This window comes from Homo sapiens, chromosome 10 (genome assembly GCF_000001405.40).
Source record: "Homo sapiens chromosome 10, GRCh38.p14 Primary Assembly".
Lineage (NCBI taxonomy): Eukaryota > Metazoa > Chordata > Mammalia > Primates > Hominidae > Homo > Homo sapiens.
The window spans coordinates 70,069,431-70,092,619 of record NC_000010.11 but is presented as its reverse complement, the minus strand read 5'-3'; the positions used below and the strand labels follow the sequence as shown (position 1 = coordinate 70,092,619).

The following is a 23,189-nucleotide window of genomic DNA, read 5'->3' as shown; positions in this document are numbered from 1 at the left end:
CCGGCACCAAGCTGCAAGAGTCCTCGGTCCTTCAGAGGTGTCTGCTACGAAGTCATTGTCTCATCTTTAAACTTCCCTCCTGTTCTGTGAGCGTCTTAGTGTCTGCCTGGGCTGCTCTAACAAAATGCTATAGACTGGCTGGCTCACAAACAACAGAAACCACTTTCTTTTTTTTTTGTTTGTTTAAGAGACAGGGTCTTGCGCTGTCACCGAGGCTCGAGTGCAGTGGTGCCATCATGGCTCACTGCAGCCTCTAACTCCTAGGCTCAAGCCATCCTCCTGCCTCGGCCTCCCAAAGTGTTGGGATTACAGGCATGAGCCACTGTGCCTGGCCCAGAAACTTGTTTCTCATAGTTCCGGAGGCAGGAAGTCCTTGGCGCAGGCAGGTTCTGTGTCTGGCAAGGGCTCACTTCCTGGTAGATGACGCTTTCTAGCTGTGTCCTCACATGGCAGAAGGGTCCCTCTGCCTCCCTCAGGCCTCTTTTATAAGGGGACTGTTCCCATTCGTGAGGACTCGCCCTCATGATCTAGTTATCTCTCAAAGCCCACACCTTGTAATCCTATGCCTCTGGGGTTAGGTTTCAACATATGAATTGTGGGGGAACACAGACATTCAGACCATTGCAGTGGGAGTGCCTGGCCCAGGACACGCAGCCTCGGCCTACCTTTTTGGACGTCCGTGGTTTGGCAGCCTTGGATTTCTTCCCCCCCTTCTTGCCTGACGTGGCCTTCCTGCCTCTTTTCTCTGGGGGTGGGGAGAGGATCGTTTCCGACTTGCCTTTGGTCCCTCGCTTTTTGGCCAGCAGTTCGGGGTGAATTCTGGGCAGGACGCCTCCACTGGCGATGGTCACTCCTTTTAGCAGCTGAAGAGAGAAATGCATGCGCTCATGTAGCAAACAGCCTGCTAGTTCCCAATTTCATACAGTTCTTTTTTTTTTTTTTTTTTGATACAGAATCTTACTCTGTCACCCAGGCTGGAGTGCAGTGGCGCGATCTTGGCTCACTGCAGCCTCCGCCTCCAGGTTCAAGCAATTCTCTTACCTCAGCCTCCTGAGCAGCTGGGATTACAGGCACCTGCCACCACCCCGGCTAATTTTTGTATTTTTAGTAGAGACAGGGTTTCACCACGTTGGCCAGGCTGGTCTCGAACGGCTGACCTCAGGTGATCCACCTGCCTTGGCCTCCCAAAGTGCTGGGATTACAGGCGTGGGCCACTGTGCCTGGCCTGGACTTAATACGGTTCTAACTGTTAAATGTGGCCTCCGCTTTCCTAAAGAAACTGCGTAATACACCATTTAATTGGCTTTTCCCACTTTCAGTTGTAGAGCATTTCTCCGTAGGTTAACAAGGCATCCTGTGATGTTGTACAGAAAGCAAAACGAAGTAAAGCAAAATAGAAGGGACACAGAAGTTGAAACCAGGGATGTTGCCCAGGGCTCTGGAATTCCAGACACAACACAGGATAAAAAGCTTCCCATGTGGGGAGCGCAGCTTGAGAAAATGATGTTCAAAGGTCATTGCAAAGACTAGACCCAGTTAATGATGAACCAGTGGTCTCCACAAGCTTGCACATACATTCCATCAGTAAAGTATGTCTGGCCATGCTCCTCCCAATCAATATAAGTTAATTTATCTGCAAAGAACAGACACGTACTACTCCACTAATATATTCTGCAGATTCGAAACCAACACTACCCCAAGCATGGTCTGCGACCATGGCTCACCCATGAACTGGTAGTTACCCGTCAGTGACAACAGAAGTATAGCAAGCATCTAGAAACTTTCACAGCAAACTGACAGTTATTGTATATCTGTTGAATCTGATAACAAAAAATTATGGCTTGTAGTTTGCTTTTTAATTTTTCTAGTGATTTTTATTACATTTCTGGAAATTATCAGTCCATGATGGATTGGCCATAAAAATGGCTTCTTCACTACAGTTTGAGAAGAGTGAGATTAGAAAATAAAGATAAATGAAAAGAAACAGAAATAAAAATTCTTATACTATTTACCTACCACCTTACATATACTGTAGGTGAAAAGGGGGTATTCGCTTGACTTTGGAGTCAGTTTCAGAATATAAACAGTCAGTTCTAAAATATAAAGAGTCTTCTGCCTTCATCAGAAAAAACTGTCAACTAAGTTTGGGTGAAGAAAGTGAAGAGAATAACATTTGTGCCACACCTTCCTCAGCAACACACAGAACTTGTCTTCAAAGAGAAAAGAAAGGTCTGATAAGACCTAGAATATATAATGAGATCTATGCCAGAGGCAATTTTATTTTGAATCTGAATGATAAGAGCTAGCAGAATTTGTTCTTTTATATGGCCTGAGTTTTTTTTGTATAAATGTAATTGGGAACTGTAGCAGGAGTGACTCATGGCCAGCCAGGCCCACACATTAGCATGTTTGGCAAACCCATTCTACGGCTTCCCTCAAGGCTTCAGACATACCTGGTTGAGCTCCTCGTCATTGGCAACTGCCAGCAAGATGTGTCTCGGGGCTATCCGGGCCTTCTTGTTGTCCCTCGCGGCATTGCCGGCCAATTCTAGAATTTCCGCTGAAATCACAAGGAGGCATTAACAGGCAATCACAGAATGGGGTCTGAGCTAAAGCTTTTCTTTAGAAATGGCCTTCAAGTTTGATCACATTCATTCATTTGTGATTTCTATGTCTCGGCCTGGAAAGAAATCCAGGAAGCGTAAGAGAACTCAAGTTAGTCCCAGCTACTCAGGAGGCCGAGGCAGGAGGATCGCTTGAGCCCAGCCAGGAGTTCAAGGCTGCAGTGAGCTATGATTGTGCCACTGCACCCCAGCCTGGGCAACAGAGTGAGACCCTGTCTCTAAAAAAAAAATTTAAAAAAATTAAAAAATTTAAAAAAAGAAAAAATAAGTCAGGTCACAGAGAAGTAAGCTATTTTAGCAAGATGTTATCCGATCCTGTGGCAAAGCCTCCTGGTTGTCCCTCAGCATCAGTTCTCCCTCTTCCTCTTCTTCCTTGGTACAGGACTTCTGATTTTTTTTGCCAAGCCCATAACTGCAGGAAAACTATATTTCCCTTGATAAGTGTGGTTCTGTGACCAATATTTGGCCAAAGAAGGCAAGCCATTGTGTTTTCTGGTCCTTCTGGGAAGTGTCCATCAATGAAGGGGCTGTGCCCTTCTTTCCTTTCTAATGGTGGGCTGAGGACACGATGGCTGGAATTTGGGCAGCCATCTTTGACCAAGAAGAAGAAGTTGTGCATGCTAGAGCAAGAGCACAGAAGGAAACTGAGTCTCTACCAATCTAGACTGTCTTTTCTAGACTTCTTTTGTATGAGAGTGAAATAAACTCTCTTGTTGAAGCCACTGTCTATAGAAGTGAATCCTGACCAATACAGAATCCTGCTATAGAACCTAAATTCCTCTCAGTCTGTGGGGCACAGGGCCATCTCTGAAGAGAATAGTGATGTAGGTAAAGTCTGTTCTGGGTGCCCACTTGGACTTCTCTTAGACTGTCTTTTTCTTTTTTGTTGAGACGGAGTCTTGCTCGTTCTGTTGCCCAGGCTGGAGTGCAGTGGCATGATCTTGGCTCACTGCAACCTCCGCCTCCTGGGTTCAAGCAATTCTCCTGCCTCAGCCTCCTGAGTAGCTGGGATTACAGGCGCACACCACCACACCTGGCTAATTTTTGTATTTTTAGTAGAGATGAGGTTTCACCATGTTGGCCAGGCTGGACTCGAACTCCTGACCTCAGGTGATCCACCCGCCTGGGCCTCCCAAAGTGCTGGGATTACAGGCCTGAGCCACTGCGCCTGGTTGACTCTCCTTTTCCTCTTTGCTCAATGCCCTAGGTCCTCCCTGTCCTAAAAGAAAAGTGGATGGAAGGACTGACTTACACTCTGGGATGAGGAAATGGTTAACCCGAAAAGTGAATTCCTAAAGGGAATGCCAGGAGACCTGCGTAGGAAAGCACATAGAGCCTGGGGGTCTTCCACATACTTCCCAAAACTTTAGCATGGCTGACTTTAACAAACACGCCACTTGGCCAATGTGAAAACATTGATAAGAAGAAATTTTCCTAAAGCTATTTCCCATGCTATTAAAACCTTGGGGTAAAAAAAGAAATCTGTAGAATTGGTTTCTACTATCTATATGCTTTCCCCCTTCCTCTTCTGTTTTATTTCGTTATTTTTCTTTCTTCCTCAATTTTAGAAGGATGTTCTGCTAAATCAAATTTGCCTTCCAAAGTATGAATGAGCCTTTAAAGAAAAATTCCTTCCCTTAGAAAGCTAGAAGGAATGTGCCAATGTGTTGTTGTCTCACTGATAATGAGGGGGGAAAGTGTGCATGTGTGCGTGTGCGTGAATGTACTGTGTGTGTGTGAGTGTGCAGGCGGGCATATGTGCGTGTGTGTGTGCGTGAATGTACTGTGTGTGTGTGAGTGTGCAGGCGGGCATATGTGTGCGTGTGTGTGCGTGAATGTACTGTGTGTGTGTGAGTGTGCAGGCGGGCATATGTGTGCGTGTGCATGTGGGTATGTGCTGGGAGGATATGCTGATACAATGGCACAAATACTAAGCCCTAAAATTAACAGATGACTTTGTATGAGTCTTTGCAATCAATCTAATTTCAAATAAAAGAGCACATGAAATTGCCATCATTCATAAAATCTACGGCAATCACAAAAACTTGACATAAGTATGCTGTATTAACTAAGCACATGTGATTAACAAAAAATTAGAATAAAATAAACATTACAGTTAAATATTCATAGGCATTTCCATAAAGAAAAGTGCTGAATCACCGCAAATTCATTCTCACATCTTTTCCAGATTATTAAGCAATGAATATTGTGTTTGCCAACAATTCATTTATGCAGTGACCGTGTTTTCTGAATCAAAGATTGGGGCACTAAAATTTGAGGAGTGTGAGCATGCGTGTCGGGACAGTGGGATAGGGTATTTGAAATTAATGCTGTCTGTGAACCCATGGATTATACTGGAAAAATGAAATTAATGCTGTATTAGATAAGCAGGCTTGTGCTTTCAGGCTGTTGCCCAATCCTTGCTTTCTCTTCAAAAGGATGCCCATTAAAAGGAAATGGAGTGGCCAGGCATGGTGGCTGATGCCTGTAATCCCTGCAATTTGGGAGGCAGAGATGGGTGGATCCCTTGAGGTCAGGAGTTCGAGACCAGACTGGCCAACATGGTGAAACCCCGTCTCTACTAAAAATACAAAAATTAGCCAGGCTTGGTGGCGTGCGCCTATAATCCCAGCTACTTGGGAGGCTGAGGCAGGAGAATCACTTGAACCTGGGAGTGGAGGCTGCAGTGAGCCGAGACTGGGCCACCGCACTCCAGCCTGGGTGACATAGTGAGATTCTGTTTAAAAAAAAAAAAAAAAGAAGAAAGAAAAGAAAATGGAATTATAAGGCTTTCAAATAGACTTTATTTTTGGAGACAGGATCTCACCTCTGTCACCCAGGCTGGAGTGCAGTGATGGCTCACTGCAGCCTTAACCTCCTGGACTCAAGTGATCCTCCCCCATCAGCCGCCTCAGTAGCTGGGACCACAGGCTTGTGCCACCATGCCAGGCTAATTTTTAATTTTTTTGTAGAGACAGGGTTTTACTTTGTTGTCCAGGCTGGTCTCAAACTCCTGGGCTTAAGTGGTCCTCCTACCTCAGCTTCCCAAAGTGTTGGGATTTCCAGGCGTGAGCCGCTGTTCCCGGCAGGCTTGCTTTATGGCTCTGGGTTAAAATGTGCAGCTCTCCATTGTGCACAGTGAAGGGAAGTGTGCTGCCCCTGCTCATCTCAAGGGACTCTCATTTCTGGGGTACACATGGGAGGAAGAAGCACTCCACTCATCCCTTTTTCTAGATGGGTCTGGGGGTTAATGAGCCTCCCAATTTTAAGCTTCTGAGCAACTGAATTGAATTTAGCATCCTGGATCATTACTTTCCTCTCTCCTGTTACCTGCATTTAGAGGGAGAAATTAAGCGCCCTCCCCAAGTTCATCAAATTAACTGTCAGCAATAAGAGGCAGGGCCATGGGAAGCACTACATATTTGGAGTCTTCAGGAAGCCCATGAAGGTCAGGTTATTTTCAGCTTGACAGACAGATGCACAGACATTCACAGACAAAATAATCTGCCGGAATCAAACGTAGCATAGGACGAGACTGAAGGCAGAGACTCAGCATGCAGCACAATTCAGGGAATGCAGATGATGCTTGGGGATCATGCAACTGGGCTCTTAAAAAACTCTTTTGAAACAATCTATAAGAAAGAAAATCTTGATTATGTGTTCTAGTGCAAAAGCAGTGGTGGGACTTTTTTTTTTTTTTTTCCTTAGAGAGAAAAAGATAATACATCACAGAAAATCTACATCAAATAGTTCTTATCTCTTTTGGATGTTTAGTCTGGACATCCTTGAGACATGGACTTCACCATTTAAATATTTGTAATAACATTAATCATTAGCCAGGCACAGGGCTCATGCCTATAACCCCAGCACTTTGGGAGGCTGGGGTGGGAGGATCATTTGAGCTCAGGAGTTCCAAGGCTGCAGTGAGCTGTGATAGTGCCACTGCACTCCAGCCTGGGTGACAGAGGAGACCCTGCCTCTAAAAAAAAAAAAATTCAAAGCAAATGAAACAAGAAAAACATTAATCATCATTAATAGTTTCAAATGTTATTATGGCAAATATAGTCCCATGAACTATAAAAGTTTGTTACATTCTTGAGTGACTTTATTGATCTTGGGGATTTTATTAATCCTGCCAAATCCTTATATTGGCAATCAATAGGAAAACTGGATTTATACAGCACTAAATTTACTCTACTGCAAATGTTGTGGGAAGATCATAATTCTGTTAAGTGGTGGGGACTTCTATGGCAAATCCCTCACTTCTCACAAGTCACACTTCTAGCAATAGTAACCATCTGGAATACAGCTGAGTATCTAGCAGTAAAAAGAATTTCTTTAGCCAAAAGGGATGCTGTAAAGCTCATACACATTATTTTGGAAGAGTCTATGTCCCTTCATTTTGTATACAATTTAAACCAACAGTGGATATTCCAGCCCACAGAAGATGGGAAATAGCACATTAATTATAGGGTTGGGACAGGTGAGGTGGAGTGAGCAAGACTCTGTCTCCTTGCCAGGCCCTTTCTTCCTTGTCCACTTGCCCACTGCTTGGCAGTGTCCCTGGGGTTCTGTCTGTGCCTTCTGCTCTGCTAGGGCCATGCAATCTTCTGGGTAAAACCCCACTGGACTCATGGCTCCAGCTTCTACCCACCCGTCTGTACTACTGAATCTGCACCTCCAGCCCTCCCATGATATCACCCAGATAGCCTCACCTGGGGGCTTCACAGGTAAAGCAAAATCAGTCCCCAAATCAAAATCATTTCCCCAAACCTGCGTTTCTCTTCGCCCTTAGAACTGGTATCTCCATCCACACATGGCTCCTACCAGAGATCTAGGAGTGATTCCCTATCCTTCCCTCTCCCACTCCCCATCTCCTTCCAGTCACCACATGGGGTCCATCCAGCCTCATCAATCTCACATACTTTTGGCCTTCTTGTTGCCATTGCCTGAGTTAAAGCTCTCTTCTCTTCCAGCCCAGATAATTGTATTGAGTGTCTAGATGGTTTCCCCGTCCCTAGTTTTGTTGTTCTCCAGATCCATGCCAGCAAGGCCACTGGTGACCCAATAGGTACCTTTGTGCAAATTAGAAAAAGATGCTCCTAGCCGGGTGTGGTCCCAGCACTTTGGGAGGCAGAGGCAGAGGCAGGCAGAGCACTTGAGCTCAGGAATTCAAGACCAGCCTGGGCAACACGGCGAAACCCCGTCTTTACAAAAAATACAAAAATTAGGCAGGCTTGGTGGTATGTGCCTGTAGTTCCACCTACTTAGGGGGCTAAGGCAGGAGGATTGCTTGAGCTCAGGAGGTCTAGGCTGTAGTGAGCCGTGATCACACCACTGCACTCCAGCCTGGGCAACAAAAACTTACCCTGCCTCTAAAAAAAAGAAAGAAAAGACAATCCTGCCTCAAGACACTTTTTTATATTTAGAGACGGAGTCTTGCTCTGTTACCAAGGCTGGAGTGCAGTGGTGCTCTCAAGGCTCACTGCAGTTTTAACCTGGGCTCGCAGTTTTAACCTGGGTTCAAGTGATTCTCCCGCCTGAGCCTCTCGAGTAGCTGGGATTACAAAGGTGAGCCACCATGCCCAGCAAGATGCTTTACTTTCTGGATTTTGTTAGAACAAAACTCTTTACTACCATCTGCTGGAAATTCTCATAATAAATACACAAATCTTTGTAGTCTAGGATTTGAATGATATTCCCTTAAATGTGTGTTCTTGTGCCGTGTACAACCTGCACGGCCACATGTGCTGGTGGTCAAAGTAATCTTTTAAAAACACAAATGCAATAAATAAGGATCATTAGATAAGAAAATTTTTGGTGTTAAGTGGTGAGACCCAATAATCTGGAAATGACATGTAAATGACAAGTGTCTATGTTACACAGTGATTTCATGGGATGTCCTGAAATTCAGCCCTATTTTAAGACCTACTTGTTCTGGTCAGTTGAAAATGTATTATATGACAGAACATTTTCTCATCATCAAAATGATTATAAACAATTCCTTCTCAATATCTACTATCAATATCTACTGTCAGCACATACAAAACGCTACTGCAGAATTTGGGGCTTGTTTTTTCAGTCCATTTTTCCTCACTTACATTGGAGATGTGAACTGGGCCAACATTATCACAATTCCACAGATCAAGAAACTGAAGTAGGAACGTGATAACCGTTCTGGGAGGCAAGCTTGTTCAGGTCAATGGGGCATTCTAGATGAGCAGCTGAGCATGCACTCTTTGCGGAACTGTGCACCCTCCTTCACCAGGTTGGGGCTAGAGACACTGTGGCTCTGGCATCATGATCACATGTGAACCTGGGGCTAGCCAGTCAGTCCATAGAATCAGGTGAGGCAGGCTGCTGTCTCTCACCCAGTGTGGCTGAGAATTTGTGCCCTCCTTTTTTGACTGTGTTGTCCCCAGCCTTCTCTTCCTGGCCATGCCTGTGGCCCCAGGTTGCCTTCCAGAGGCAGTGTGTGGAAGAGAGGGCCTTCAAAAACCACAGACATAAACCTGACAGGAGCAGTAGACTGGCCAGGGGAAGCCTACTGATGGTGGCTCATTGGCCCCCAGGACATCAGCAGGAGAATCCAGTTCATGTGGGGGTGAAGAGCACTGCTTGCCACAGAGATTTGGGTGGGAGAGAAGAGTGGAATACTGTCACTTAAGAGTTGTGTAATGAGGGTCACTTAGAGAGGCTGTGCCTGTGTGTGGGAAGAAGGTATCTGGGGGCTGCTTGTCTCTAGGGGCATACTGCAGTGTCTGCATCAGTCCCCAGCAGCCCTTGTTCTGGGAGCTGGAGGAGGTGCCTCCCCACCTGGGACCAAGGCCTCCAGCCAGCTCTGGAGACCCCGGGGGCTCAGCTTTCCCACCAGGCTCCTTGTCTCTGTGTTTCCAGCTCTCCCCCTCCTGCAGGGGGGCTATACCCTGTTGGTGCTGGGAATCCCTTTGGTGGTCTGGTGAGGCCCAACAACTCTTCTCAGAACAAGGTGCTTGATTAAAAAAAAAAAAAAGGAAAACATACATAACATACATCTACCATTTAACCATTTTAAAGGATACAATTCAATGGCATTAAGTATATTCACAATGTTGCACAACCATAACTATCCATTTCCAGAACTTTTTCATCATCCCAAATGGAAACTCTGTACCCATTAAACAATAACTCATCTTTTCTCCCTCCCTCTCCCCAGCCCCTGGTAACCTCTATTCTACTTTCTGTCTGTATGAATTCACCTCTTCTAGGTATCACCTACTCTGGGTATCTCATATAAATGGAACAATATGATATTGCCCTATTGTGTCTGCCATCCTTCACATGCATAATGTTTTCAAGATTCATCCAGGTTGTAGCATGTACCAGAATTTTATTCCTTTTTGAAATCTTACGGCTGAATAACAGCCCATTGTATGAATATACCACATTCTGCTTATCCATTCGTCTGTTGATCGACACTTGGTTGCTTCCACCTTTCGGCTGCTGTGAAAAATGCTGCTAAGAACATGGTTGCACAAATATCTGTTTGCGTCCTTTCTCTCTTTCTTTCTTTCTTTTCTTTTTTCTTTTTTTTTTTTTTGACACAGTTTCACTCTTGTTGCCCAGGCTGGAGTGCAATGGCGCAATCTCGGCTCACCGCAACCTCCGCCTCCCGGGTTCAAGCGATTCTTCTGCCTCAGCCTCCCCGGCAGCTGGATTACAGGCATGCACCACCACACCCGGCTAATTTTGTATTTTTAGTAGAGACGGGGTTTCTCCATGTTGGTCAGGCTGGTCTCGAACTCCCGATCTCAGGTGATCCGCCCGCCTCGGCCTCCCAAAGTGCAGGGATTACAGGCGTGAGCCACTGCGCCCGGCCGAGTCCCTGCTTTCAGTTCTCTTAGGTATATGGCTAGGAGTGGAATTGCTTGGTTGTATTGGTAATTCTATGTTTAACTTTATTAGGAACCATCAAACTGTTATCCACAGTGGCTGCACGCTTTTTTAAAAATACATTTTTATTTTTAATCTTTGTGAGTACATGGTAGGTGTATATATGTATGGGGTACATAGATATTTTGATACAGGCATTAAATGTGTAATAATTACATCATGGAAAATGGGGTTTCCTTCTCAAGCATTTATCCTTGGTGTTACAAACCATCCAATTATACTCTTTTAGCTATTTAAAAATGTACAATTAAATTATTTTTACTATAGGCTGCACCATTTTACATTTCATTCATTCATAAGATCTGGTGGCAGCTCTAATAACTACTTTGAGTGTGAAGAGTCCCCACCCCCTCTGTCTCCCAGTCCATACCTCCCACTTCTCAACTCACTGTGGTTTGGTTCTGACCTCCCATGCCGTCCTTGCCAAGGTCACCATGACCCTGAGGTGGCTAGATCTGTTGTCCTTGTCTGATTTTTATCAGCGTGACCCTTAGGGGCTCCTGGCCTTCCCTTCCTTCCCTTGGCCTCTGACGCGTCACACGCTCACATCTTTCCTCCTTACCCTCTGGCTTTCCTCAGCCTCCTTTGCCATCCTTTCCCCCTCTCCCTGGCCCACTGGGCACACTGGTGTCACTCATGCTGGGTCCTGTGCTCTCTCTGGGTGACCTCCCTCACTTCCACTGCCTTAACACACCGATGTGAACCTCCTGCTCACAGCTCCCTCCTGAGCTCCCGACACACCTAGGGGGTCTTCACTCAATAAGAGCAATAGCCACATGGATGGAGTTGCTCATGTGTGCCGAGCGGTGCTAAGCACTTTTCATGCATTATTTTATGTAATCCTCACAGTAACATCATGAATGGTAAAGCAATGATCCTGAGGGTTCATAGCTGATACGTGGCAGAACCAGCATCTAGGTTCAGGCCTGGCTGGATCCAGCATTTCTATCCACTCTGCTCTTCTGGACATCTTTTTTTTTTTTTTTTTTTTTTTTGAGAGACAGGGCCTTGCTTGGTCACCCAGGCTGAGGAGTGCAGTGGTAGAATCATAGCTCACTGCTGCCTCAAATTCCTGGGCTCAAGGAATCCTCCCACATCAGCCTCCCTAGCAACTGGGACTATTCAGAACATGCCACCACACCCAGTTAGGTTTTTTTTTTTTTTTTTTTTTTTTTTTTGAGATGGAGTTTCACTGTTGTTCCCCAGGCTGGAGTGCAATGGTGTGATCTTGGCTCACTGCAACCTCCACCTCCCGGGTTAAAGTGATTCTTCTGCCTCAGCTTCCCAAGTAGCTGGGATGATTACAGGCATGCACCACCATGCCCGGCTTATTTTTGTATTTTTAGTAGAGATGGGGTTTCATCATGTTGGTCAGGCTAGTCTTGAACTCCTGACCTCAGGTGATCCACTCGCCTTGATCTCCCAAAGTGCTGGAATTACAGGTTTGAGCCACCGTGCCCAGCACACACCTGGTTAATTTTTTAATTTCTTGTAGAGACGAGGTCTCACCATCTTGCCCAAGCTGGTCTGGAACTCCTGGACTCAAGTGGTCCTCCTACTTTGGCCTCCCAAAGTGTTCGGATTACAGGCATGAGCCACTCTGCCCAGCCCTCTTGGACATCTTATAGACACCAAAGCTCAACAGGTCCCAAACTGAGCCCCTCCTGCTGCAGCCTGGTTCTCATCCATTGCTCCCTACTTCAGGTACAGGCACCATTCTCCATCCACTAGCTGCTTTGCTCTCTCTTCTCCTTCCTCTCGGCAAGACTCTTTTTTTTTTTTTTGAGATGGAGTTTTGCTCTTGATGCCCAGGCTGGAGTGCAATGACGCGATCTCGGCTCACCACAACCTCCGCCTCCTGGGTTCAAGTGATTCTCCTGCCTCAGCCTCACGAGTAGCTGGGATAACAGGCATGCACCATCACGTCCGGCTAATTTTGTATTTTTATTAGAGATGGGGTTTCTCCATGTTGGTCAGGCTGGTCTCGAACTCCTGACCTCAGGTGATCTGCCCGCTTCTGCATCCCAAAGTGTTGGGATTACAGGCGTGAGCCACCACGTCCAGCTGGTCAGACTTCTTTTACCCATTCCCTACTCCTTTTGTCTCCAAGTCCACACCTCAATCTACTTCTCACCCCATGGCAGTGTGGCCTGAGAGAAAGTAGCTAGTCCATACCTACAAGATTCATATCATCCTTGATGCCCCTCCCTGTGGATCCAATCCATTATGGAGTGGAGCTGACTCCGCCCTCCAGAAAGCTCCCAGATTTTCCATTTCTTCTCACCATCCCCACTGTGCACCCTTGGTCCTGGCCACTGTCAGTTCTTCACAAAGTGACACTAAAACAACTCCACTGGTCTCCTGGAATCTGATCTTGCTCCTTGACAACTGATCTCTACCTAAAGCCAGAGTGATGCCTTGCAGATGCTGCCACCTCTCTTTGATGCCTCCTCTGCCGTGTGTGTGTGTGTGTGTGTGTGTGTGTGTGTGTGTGTGTGCGCGCGCGCGCGCGAACCCTCAACGTGGCCTTCAAGGGCCGTCACAGTCTAGCGCCTGCTGCCCTGCCCCCATTTCATCTCTCACTCCTCCCATTTCCAAGCTCTGCTCTCGGCACATTAGAAAGGGCCACACACTCTTTTAAACTTGGAGTCTTCTCCCTTACTCCCCACCTCCCTTACTATCTTCCCCTAGTTCACCCGCCCCCCCAGTCTGAATCTGGCTGACTCCCTTCCCCACCTGGCTGCCCATCAGAATCATTTGGGGGAGCTTTTAAGAATCCTGATGCACAGAAAATACCCCAGAGTCTCGGGGGTGGGACCCAGGCATCAGGATTTGAAATCAATCGATACGAGAAAATGCAGGGTTGACAACCTGGTTTAGGTCTTAACAACACTTCTGTTAGATTAGGCAGCCCTTCCCCCAACCCGCAGTTCCCGAAGTTCCTCTCATTCCCTGCCCGACAGCACCTGATCTTATTGTGAGGCGTTTCCTTCTTGTCCTCCTCACTAGGCTCTAAGTCCAGCAATGGGAAGGACCAAGTTAGCTGGTTTTCTGCTGTATCTTCAAGACCTGATTCAAATGAGGCACTCAGTCTAGATTTGTTTCATGAATGTGGAAGTCATTTCAAGGGTGACAGGAGGCTTCCACACTTTGACCCCCCTTCCCTAAACAGAATCAATGGATACCTCTTTAAAAAACAAACAAACCAAAAAACAGACTAAAATCCCCCATGTCATTTACTCAACAGTAGCTTGCAATTCCACTAATATGATTCATTCCCTTGGATTAAAACACCTTGTCTCATTAAAATGCAAATTCAGCCTGAAAATACAACACCTTAATGGAATTAGTCATTTATACTTTGTCCTGAATGATTTTGTCAGCTCTTAATAGAGGGGGGAGGAGAAGAATTAGCATTTATTGAGTGCATCCTATACGCCAGGTGTTTTACACATATTAGCTCATTGAATGAGGTTAAAAGAGTTAGTTCTGGAAACACCTGGAGCTCAGAGAGGTTAAGGTAACAGAGCTGGTCAATGAGTCATCCCGATTGGAACCGACATCTGAGCCTGCACTCAGTGCCTGCCTGCCTTTGGGGGAGAGAAAGGGCACAAAGAAGGGAGGGAAAGGACACAGAGGACAGGCCTGGGCCTCAGGAGACCAATGTCACCTTCTCCTCCTCCACGTGGCCCAGGATGGTCTGGACACTGGGACTGGCCGGGGGCAGGAGGACTTTGGCAATGGCACCCTTGCAGGTGCTCATCCTCTCCATGTTCAACCCACTGTATAAATGGCCCAATTCTATTGCGGGAACTCTGCCTAAGGACTTACTGTGTGTGCTGACGTGGAGATGCTCAACAAATGCTCTTTGAATGGATGAACGAACAGGAAGAGGTAAGCTTCGTTTATCTCACACATCTGAACCAAAGACTAACAGAGATGCTGGGGATTCCAAAGGCCAAATTTTGTATATGCACGGATTAGACTTTTGCCAAACGGAGGCACAGGAAGTACTTAGTTATTTTCATCACACAAATATTGGGGTAGTGTAGGGCAGCAAAACTGCGTGGCTTGAGGTCGAGGGCGTGAGGGAGTCCTAGTTCCCCATCTGGAAGCTGTGGGATCTTGCAGTTAACTCAGTGTCTTCCAGTCCCAGTGGGTGACACACACCTAACAGGTTGTTTTAAAGCCTCATAAACTCTTCTCAAAGTCTGTTCTCTCCCTGTCTCAGCTGGGAGGTTTTCCCATCAGATTCCTTGGCCTCACTCCAGATCCAGTGAATCAGACCCTTTGAGAGTATATCTAGGAACTTGCATTTTATTTTTTATTTTTATTTTTGTATTATTATTATTTTTTAGTAGAGATGGGGTTTCACCGTGTTAGCTAGGATGGTCTCGATCTCCTGACCTCGTGATCTGCCCGCCTCGGCCTCCCAAGTGCTGGGATTACAGGCGTGAGCCACTGTGCCCGGCCTTTATTTTTTGAGACGGAGTCTCGCTCTGTCACCTAGGCTGGAGTGCAGTGGTGTGATCTCAGCTCACTGCAACCTCCAACTCCTGGGTTCAAGTGATTCTCCTGCCTCAGCCTCCCAAGTAGCTGGGATTACCGGCCTGTAATCCCAGTAGCTGCCATCACGCCTGGCTAATTTTTGTATTTTTAGTAGAGATGGGGTGTCACCATATTGGCCAGGCTGGTCTCGAACTCCTGACCTCAGGTGATCCACCCGCCTCAGCTTCCCAAAGTGCTGGGATTACAGGTGTGAGCCACTGTGCCTGGCGGGAACTTGCATTTGAAACAAGCATTCCCCACATCTTTTGGCTTGAGGTTAAAAGGCTGGCTACAATCTTGCTATTCAACATGTGGTCCCTGGACCAGCAGCATCATTATCACCTGGGAGTTTGAGGAATGGAGTCTCAGGTGCCACCCTGCCCTTGTCAACAAGATCCCTGCGTGACCCCACTTGGAAAAGAACTGCTTTTCAGAGCCCTCCAGCTCTCCCCAACCTCCTAAAGGAGGGAAGGACTTTTAGCTCAGGAGGAAGGCTTTCATTTCATAAGAGGAAGGAAGGCTCATGATGCAGAGGTCTGCCTGGTGGAAGCTCTCGGGGGAGGACATTTCCTCCTTGGATCCGTGGATCAAGGAAAACCTTTCACCAATAAATGTTGGTTGGTGGGCGATGGGGACTAAGAGGGCAGGGCAGGACTGAGCATCTAAAGAGGAAAAACCAGCAGAAAAGAGGAATCTGGGGACAGAAGAGAGGACCAGCCCTGCCACAGCCCAGAGGATTTCATGCAGTGAGGCTTGCCTCCCCAGTGTTAGACCATCTGGGGAGGTTTGCTTTTTAACCTGGCAGAATTTCCAAGGAACTTAACCTTGGTGTCTAGGGAATTTGTTAACCTTGGGCAAAGTCAGAGACATTGTTGCTCGTGGCTATTACCCAACAAGGGACTAAATCATACTTATTGTACATATATATTTATATATTTTATTTGTAAATACTTCTGAAAAGCACCCCTGATATTGTAAAGTTTGGTTTCTATTTAACTATGACATAAGAGAACAACAACAAAAAAGCTAAAGAGAAAGTTACTAAGATAAAGAACACACACAGCAAAATCTCATCTTTCAGTAAAAAAATTAACTTTAACAACAAATATGGGAAACTATTTTCTGTGCACCCCTATTAGACGAGAATCACCTCAGTGAAGGAGAGCAAAATTAGAACATTACATCGGCTTCATGCCAGCACCTGAAAGATGCTTTTAATGATGCGATAAATGTTATTTATGGACCCTGAGTCCCAGTTTAAATATACCAGGAAAACTAATGTTTAATGAGCAATTTGATGTAAAAAGACTCCCTTTTACAAAATGAATATCAAATCCCCCATTCTCCCTGCAGTTTATTTTCTTCAGGAGCTTAGATATTTATATATTGCATTCGCTTAAAGCAAGACATATCTTTTGCAGGACTGGTCTAGGAGGGCCACTTACTTGATTGTGGGTTCTCCGCCTTCCATGCTGATCACCTGTCCTTCCTATACCCTCTTCTCTCCCCTAAAGTCTGCAGAAGTTGATTTTAGCCAAGCAGGCCAGTTGCAACCCTGTCACCACCCACAGTAGCCTTGAGCCAGCCAAAAGGCAATTTGGAGCATCCCTCCCCAGCCTGCGAGGGGGACCCAGGGGAGGGTGGGGACCTGGGAGCAGGCAGCCTCCTTTGCGTGTCCTCATTACCTGCCAGGTACTCAATGACTGCCGCCATGTAGACAGGGGCGCCCACGCTGATCCGGTACTTGAACGTCCCTTTCTTCAGATAACGCATCAGCCTCCCCACTGGAAAGATGACACCTGCCCTAGCTGAACGGGACAGCTTGGACATTTTCTTCTTCCCACTCCGGCCCGACATCTTGCTTCAGTTTCCCTCTCAGCTTGCTGACACAGTGGCCTCCCGGCACTAACACAATGCTAAAAAGGAAAGAAGACAGAGTTGAGGAAGGGTAGTTGGCAAACATCTTGGGCACAGTGGCATGGCCCTTGGGCACCACTGTGACACCTCTGACTGCCCTGGGGAGGCAGCTGAAATCTGGCTGCTACTGCAGGTGCAGGAGGCACGGAGTCAGGCATGGGGTCTCTGAAGGGCATGGGCAAGCCCACCCACAAACATCCCTCCCCCACCAAAGCAGCCTGACCTCAAGAGGAAAGGCCACAGAAAACTGTCACTGAATAGGGAGGTCTCGGTCCTGTGGTCAGCTGAACAATGATCCCCAAAGATGTCAATTTCCTCATCCCCAGAACCTGTGACTGTTATCTTATATGACAGAGACTTTGCAGATGGGATTAAGCTAAGGGTCTTGAGATGGGGAGGTTTATCTTGGATTATCTGGATGGGGCTAACATAATTGCCTTAGAAGACGGAGGCAGGGGGTCAGAGTGGGCAGTAAGAGATGTGAGAACAGAAGGAAAAGGATTTTCCCCTCAAAGCCATCAGAAGGAATTAGTCCTGCTGATACCTTGACTTTAGCCCAGTAAGGCTAATTTTGGACTTCTGACCCCTGAACTATAAGAAAATAAATTTGTATTGTTTTAAACACTAAGTTTGGGGTAATTTGTTCCAGCAACAATAAGAAAACTAATACAATTCCTCTTGGCTTATATGACTTTGCCCATTATAATGGTTAGTGTATTAGTCTGTTCTCACACTGCTAATAAAGATGTATCCAAGACTGGGTAATTTATAAAGAAACAGAGGTTTAATGCACTCACAGTTCCACGTGGCTGGGGAGGCCTCACAATCATAGTGGAAGGTGAAAGGCACGTCTTATATGGCAGTAGACAAGAGAGAATGAGAACCAAGCGAAAGGGGTTTCCTCTTATAAACCCATCAGATCTCGTGAGACTTATTCACTACCACGAGAATGGTATGGGGGAAACCACCCCCATGATTCAATTATCTCCCACCAGGTCCCTCCCACAACATGTGGGAATTATGGGAGCTATAATTCAAGATGAGATTTGGGTGGGGACACAGCCAAACCATCCGTTAGGTTTGACAGACATAACTGAGAGCTGATGTGTATTTTTTAGACACTTTTCTAAATCCTGCAATAATGTAGCACTCAGAAATGGAAACAGGCCAGAAGAGGCAGTTTTACTGAATATGTGTGGTATGCAAACATAGCAAATGAAAAGCCATAATGCAGCCTGAGCGTCTGTTCCTTGGAATGAGGAATCCAGGTTGATTTTGGGAGAAACTTCACAGTCAGCACAAAGAGGTGAATTCAGCACCAGGAACTAAGAGAGAAACATTCACTGTTGCTTAAGGAAGCTATCTTTTGTGTGAAGACAAAATAATCACATATTCCTGGACAGAGTCTTTGTAAGCCCACCCACAATCTAGAAAATTGTAGTAGATCTTGGGTAGGCTTGGTCTGCTGGTTGACAGGGTACCGTAACCGACAAATGGAATATAATCTTCAGTAAGTAAAAGCAAATTACAAGGGACAAACGGTCAGGAGCAAAGAAAAGGAAAATGACATTTTCTAGGAAATGTGTTAATATATCAAAGCTCTCTTCCCCAAGGTCAATGGCGTTCTCAGGGGCCGTTTCCTCTGGAGATGAAAAATGAGAAAGTCAGAACAAATTGAAATTGGTTCTATCCATTGATCCTGGTTAGGTCATCATACCAACAGGCAAGATGGCAAAGGAAAGGAGGGCCCAAGAAAGTCCCTAAATATGACAGAAGAAGATATTAAATGAATGCTTGGTTAATATGAAATAGATACAAAACCAGGATTTACTTAATCTAGGTGAAAGAGTGAACAGATTTCAATTTTCTAAAGCATCTGATAACTCCATTACGACCAAGGAGACTATATTAAAAGCTCTGAAATTAGCAACAAAGCCCTTTCTCAACTCTCACCTGTCCCCGAGGTGAATGATTCAAGTTTGGGGCATTTTAGTATATACTTCATATACATTATTTAAAATGCTCATATGTACTTACTACTCCCCTATTTTATACTTCATATGTCGTTTTGCCACCAAAGGATGTAGCTATTCATCAGTTAGGTACAAGCAAAGATGAGAGAAGTGCCTTAGACTATTATCTCTTTGACTGCAAGGCCCAGAGATCAGGCAATGTTGCCATGTTGTTTTATCACGTTGTTTCTTCATCTGGAAGAAACAAGATCTCCCACCTTTGCCGTGCTGCTGCTGTCTGTGGCTGCTCACTCTCATAAATCCACTTGTAGGGGTTTTCTCTTTGAGGAAGCAAGCAACTATGTGTTAGGTAAATGTATGGAGGGCCTGCTGTTAGTCAGCCCTGTCGCAGGAAAGAGGGGAAACAGACAGCATTGCTAAGTGGTCCCTGTCCTCACATAGCACGTGTTTGCTAGCTGGGTTGTGGTGCTCTAAATGGAGGTGGCTCTTGCTATAGTGGAAGGAGCCCAGGACTGCGGAACAGAAAGTCCTGGGCATAGCGCCGCTTCTACATAACTACAGTCATGCACCCCACAATGACCGCATATGACGGTGGTCCTGTATGATCATAATGGAGCTGAAAAATTCCTATGCCCTAGTGACATCTTTTTGTTGTTGTTGTTGTTGTTTGGGAAGGAGTCTTGCTCTGTCCCCTAGGCTGGAGTGCAGTGGTGCAATCTCGGCTCATTGCAACTTCTGCCTCTGGGGTTCAAACGATTCTCCTGCCTCAGCCTCCCAAGTAGCTGGGACTATCGGTGTGCACCACCATGCCTGGCTAATTTTTGTATTTTTAGTAGAGACGAGGTTTCACCATGTTGGCCAGGGTGGTCTCAAACTCCTGACCTCAAGTGATCCATCTTCCTCAGCCTCCCAAAGTGGTGGGATTACAGGTGTGAGCCACCACACCTGGCCAACCTAGTGACATCCTAACGGTGTAGCACAATGCCTTACTCATGTGTTTGTGGTGATGCTGATGTAAACAAACCTACTGTGCTGCCAGTCATATAAAAGTCTAGCACATATAATTATGTATAGTATATAATACTTGATAACAAATGACGATGTTACTGGTACTCCTTCTACTTATTAAAAACAAAGTAAACTGTAAACCAGCCTTAAATGGATCCTTCAGGAGGTATTCCAGAAGGAGGCATTATTATTACAGGAGATGACAGCTCCGTGCGTGTTATTGTCCCTAAAGACTTTCCAGTGGACAAGATGTGAAGGTGGAAGACAGTGTTATTGATGACCCTGACTCTGTGTAGGCCTAGGCTAATGTGTATGTGTCTTATTTTTTTTAACAGAAGTTTAAAAAGTTAAAAAAAATTTTAATAGAAAAATGCTTATAAACTTAAAGTATAATAATAATAAAATAAAAAAAGAAAAATGCTTATAGAGTAAGGCTATAAAGAAGGAAAATATGTGTAGTAGCTGTGCAATGTATTTGTGTTTTAAGCTAAGTGTTATTACAAAAGAGTCAAAAAGTTTAAAAAGGTTAAAAAGTTTATAAAGTAAAAAAAATTACAGTAAGCTAAGGTTAATTTATTATTGGATAATTTATTGGAAAATTTATTATTGGGTAAGGTTAATTTATTATTAAGGAAAATATTCTCTTTTAAATGTAGTGTAGCTAACATGTACGGTATAAAGTCTACAGTAGTGTACAATAATGTCCCGGGCCTTCACATTCACTCACCACTCACTCACTCACCCAGAGTACTTCTAGTCCTGCAAGCTCTATTCACGGCAAGTGCCCTATACATGTGTACTGCTGTTTACATTTTATACTGTATTTTACTGTCCTTTTCTAAGTTTAGAGACACAAAAACTTACCATCACCATTGCCTGCAGTATTCAGTATGGTAAGATGTTGAGCAGGTTTGTAGCCCAGAAGCAACAGATCATAGGATTATAGCCTAGGTGTACAGGAGGCTGTACCATCTAGGTTTGTGAAGTCCACTCTATGCTGTTTGCACAATGACAAAATCACCTAACGATGCATTTCTCAGAACGTACCCCTTTCGTTAAGTGATGCATGACTGTAGTTATGTGAGCTTCATATGTTATTTATTTGGACCTCAGTGGCCTTCTCTGTAAAACAGGGCAGGTGGCTAACATCCTTACAGTTGTTCTGCTCTTAAACATCCTGATTTTTCTGAAAGGCACTTTTCAATGATTTTGGTAGAGAAGCTTAGGCTCTTTAAGCAGTCGGTTCTAAAGACTTAAGAGCCTACACAGGCTCATAAAGGTGCATTAGTGACTCTCCTAAGCCAATTATGTGCTTTTCTCAGTTAATGGTAAGTGGGATTGGAGGATGATTACTAAGTCTGGTTGTCAAGAAACCACCTGAAAAGCCCATCACAGGGTGGACGTGCTCTGTGAATATGGTGTGTGCTGGCTGGTCTTAATCTCTCCCTACCATGCTTCCACCAGAGAATGCTGCATGAAGTACAAACACCACAAGGGCAGGGACACCCCCTGTGCACACGCGCACACACACACACACACTCATGCACATGCACACGCGCGCCCACACACGCATGCACGTGCACACGCATACATGCACGCGCTCACACACACACACACATGCACATGCACACAGACACACACACACACACACACACTTTCCTCAAAACAGCCAGAGAATGACTAGGTGTGCAGGATAAAGCCATTTAGGGACTTTCCTACTATTAGCTGCCAAGAGAAGTCACAAACTGCCCTAAAAATTGGAACTTAGGACTAGGAGTATAAGAAAAGCAAGTGACTTTAGGGGACGGATGCCTAAAACACTCAGGAAGAGGCCAAGCGTGGTGGCTTACGCCTGTAATCCCTACATTTTGGGAGGCTAAGGTGGGTGGATCACCTGAGGTCAGGAGTTTGAGCCTGGGCAACATGATGAAACCCCGACTCTACTAAAAATACAGAATATTAGCCGGGCGTGGTGGCGGGTGCCTGTAATTCCAGCTACTCTGGAGGCTGAGGCAAAAGAATCACTTGAACCCAGGAGGAGGAGGTTGCAGTGAACCGAGATTGTACCATTGCACTCCTGCTGGGCAACGACAGCGAAACTCCGTCTCAAAAACAAACAAACAAACAAAACTCAACACTCATGAAGATAAAATAGCCAAGTAAGGAAAATCAAAGTAGGAACAAGTAGAGAAACATACCACCTGCACATTGTAAAAAAGTACCTAAATGTAAGAATCATCCTGAACATGGTACTTTATAATAAGTTTTTCCCTCTGTGGCTTCCAGACTTCCCTCTAAGTGAGGGCCTTAGAGGAAATCCCCCTGGGTGGGGGATGCAGCTCCATCTGAAGTCTAAGTGTGAGATGGACTGACTTATGCATGTATTTTAAGCAGGACTGGAGAGTCCTCTATGCCTGCCAAACCCATCTTTTCAGGTCTTGTGCGGAATTTAAGCAGCCAGGCACCTATCTCCCAGGCCCTCCTGGGGACTCAGGGCTGTGAGGTCCCTGGACACGGACAGTAAGAATTAGAGCACATCCAGGAATCCCTAGGGGAAGCAAGGAGGGGCTTATGGAGCTGACATGTTACATCTACCAGAGCCCACCGACGGGAGGAAGTGCTGAGCCTCTGGGGCCACTCCAGAGAAGACCCTGCTTTCTAAAGACCACCTCTCCCCAAAGCCTGTGCTGGATTATGCCTGGAGTTATGATAAATTATAACCCTGAACTTCCTTCTTTCCCGGGCCACCCTTTCCTCCAACTCTATTCCGTCTTGGGAAGTCAGGAGTCAAAAACTTGAATGGGTTTTTATCCACATCCTGGTAATTGGAGTCTCGGTGTAGGCCTACTGTCTAAAAAGAACCATTGCAAGGTGAAAATTTGTTTTCTTCAGGCTAATATTAAATGTTTACATTTAAGTATTAGCCTGAAGGAAACAATTTCTGCTCTAAGACAATTTCCCTCTGATTAGGCAAAGCTTAAGGACTACAATACACTAAGTTTACATGTTTGGAGAGAATATGGCTGGACGCAGCTCTTGGTGTCCTCAGAGACACCATGTGGGCAATCCCTGGAGGCCACGTGGCTCTGTTCAGGTGGCCCCATTTTCCCAGATGCACGTGGGCTATAGAGGAAACCAGACAAACCCTGAATCTGCAATGTACCTGTCCTTTCATAGCAGAAAGACC

General features: G+C 45.6%; 1 protein-coding gene across 1 annotated transcript in view, besides 3 other annotated features; it reads right to left on the bottom strand.

Annotated features, from left to right (window-relative positions):
* The window catches only part of MACROH2A2 (macroH2A.2 histone), a 59,437-nt gene that overhangs the window by 19,663 nt on the left and 16,585 nt on the right, over positions 1-23,189 (bottom strand). Inside the window, exons 2-4 of the mRNA NM_018649.3 lie at positions 16,790-17,020; positions 2,454-2,560; positions 666-863 (exon numbers count right to left, since the gene is read on the bottom strand). Of these exons, the coding sequence (NP_061119.1) occupies positions 666-863; positions 2,454-2,560; positions 16,790-16,961 (477 nt within the window). The 5' untranslated portion in view covers positions 16,962-17,020. The remainder of the gene's footprint in view (positions 1-665; positions 864-2,453; positions 2,561-16,789; positions 17,021-23,189) is intronic.
* Positions 1,438-1,582: an enhancer, noted in NCBI's record as "145 bp enhancer 70 fragment used in the MPRA reporter construct; PK_construct_1725". NCBI's record gives its function as "activates an SV40 promoter by MPRA in HepG2 cells {active_cell/tissue: HepG2}" and the evidence as "EXISTENCE:reporter gene assay evidence [ECO:0000049][PMID:23512712]".
* Positions 1,504-1,517: a transcriptional cis regulatory region, noted in NCBI's record as "HNF4 motif; enhancer activity is reduced when this motif is scrambled". NCBI's record gives its function as "necessary for full MPRA enhancer 70 activity {active_cell/tissue: HepG2}" and the evidence as "EXISTENCE:site-directed mutagenesis evidence [ECO:0005528][PMID:23512712]".
* Positions 21,062-21,561: an enhancer, noted in NCBI's record as "H3K4me1 hESC enhancer chr10:71830815-71831314 (GRCh37/hg19 assembly coordinates)". NCBI's record gives its function as "activates a minimal SCP1, AML or CMV promoter by ChIP-STARR-seq in primed H9 embryonic stem cells {active_cell/tissue: H9 hESC(primed)}" and the evidence as "EXISTENCE:reporter gene assay evidence [ECO:0000049][PMID:30033119]".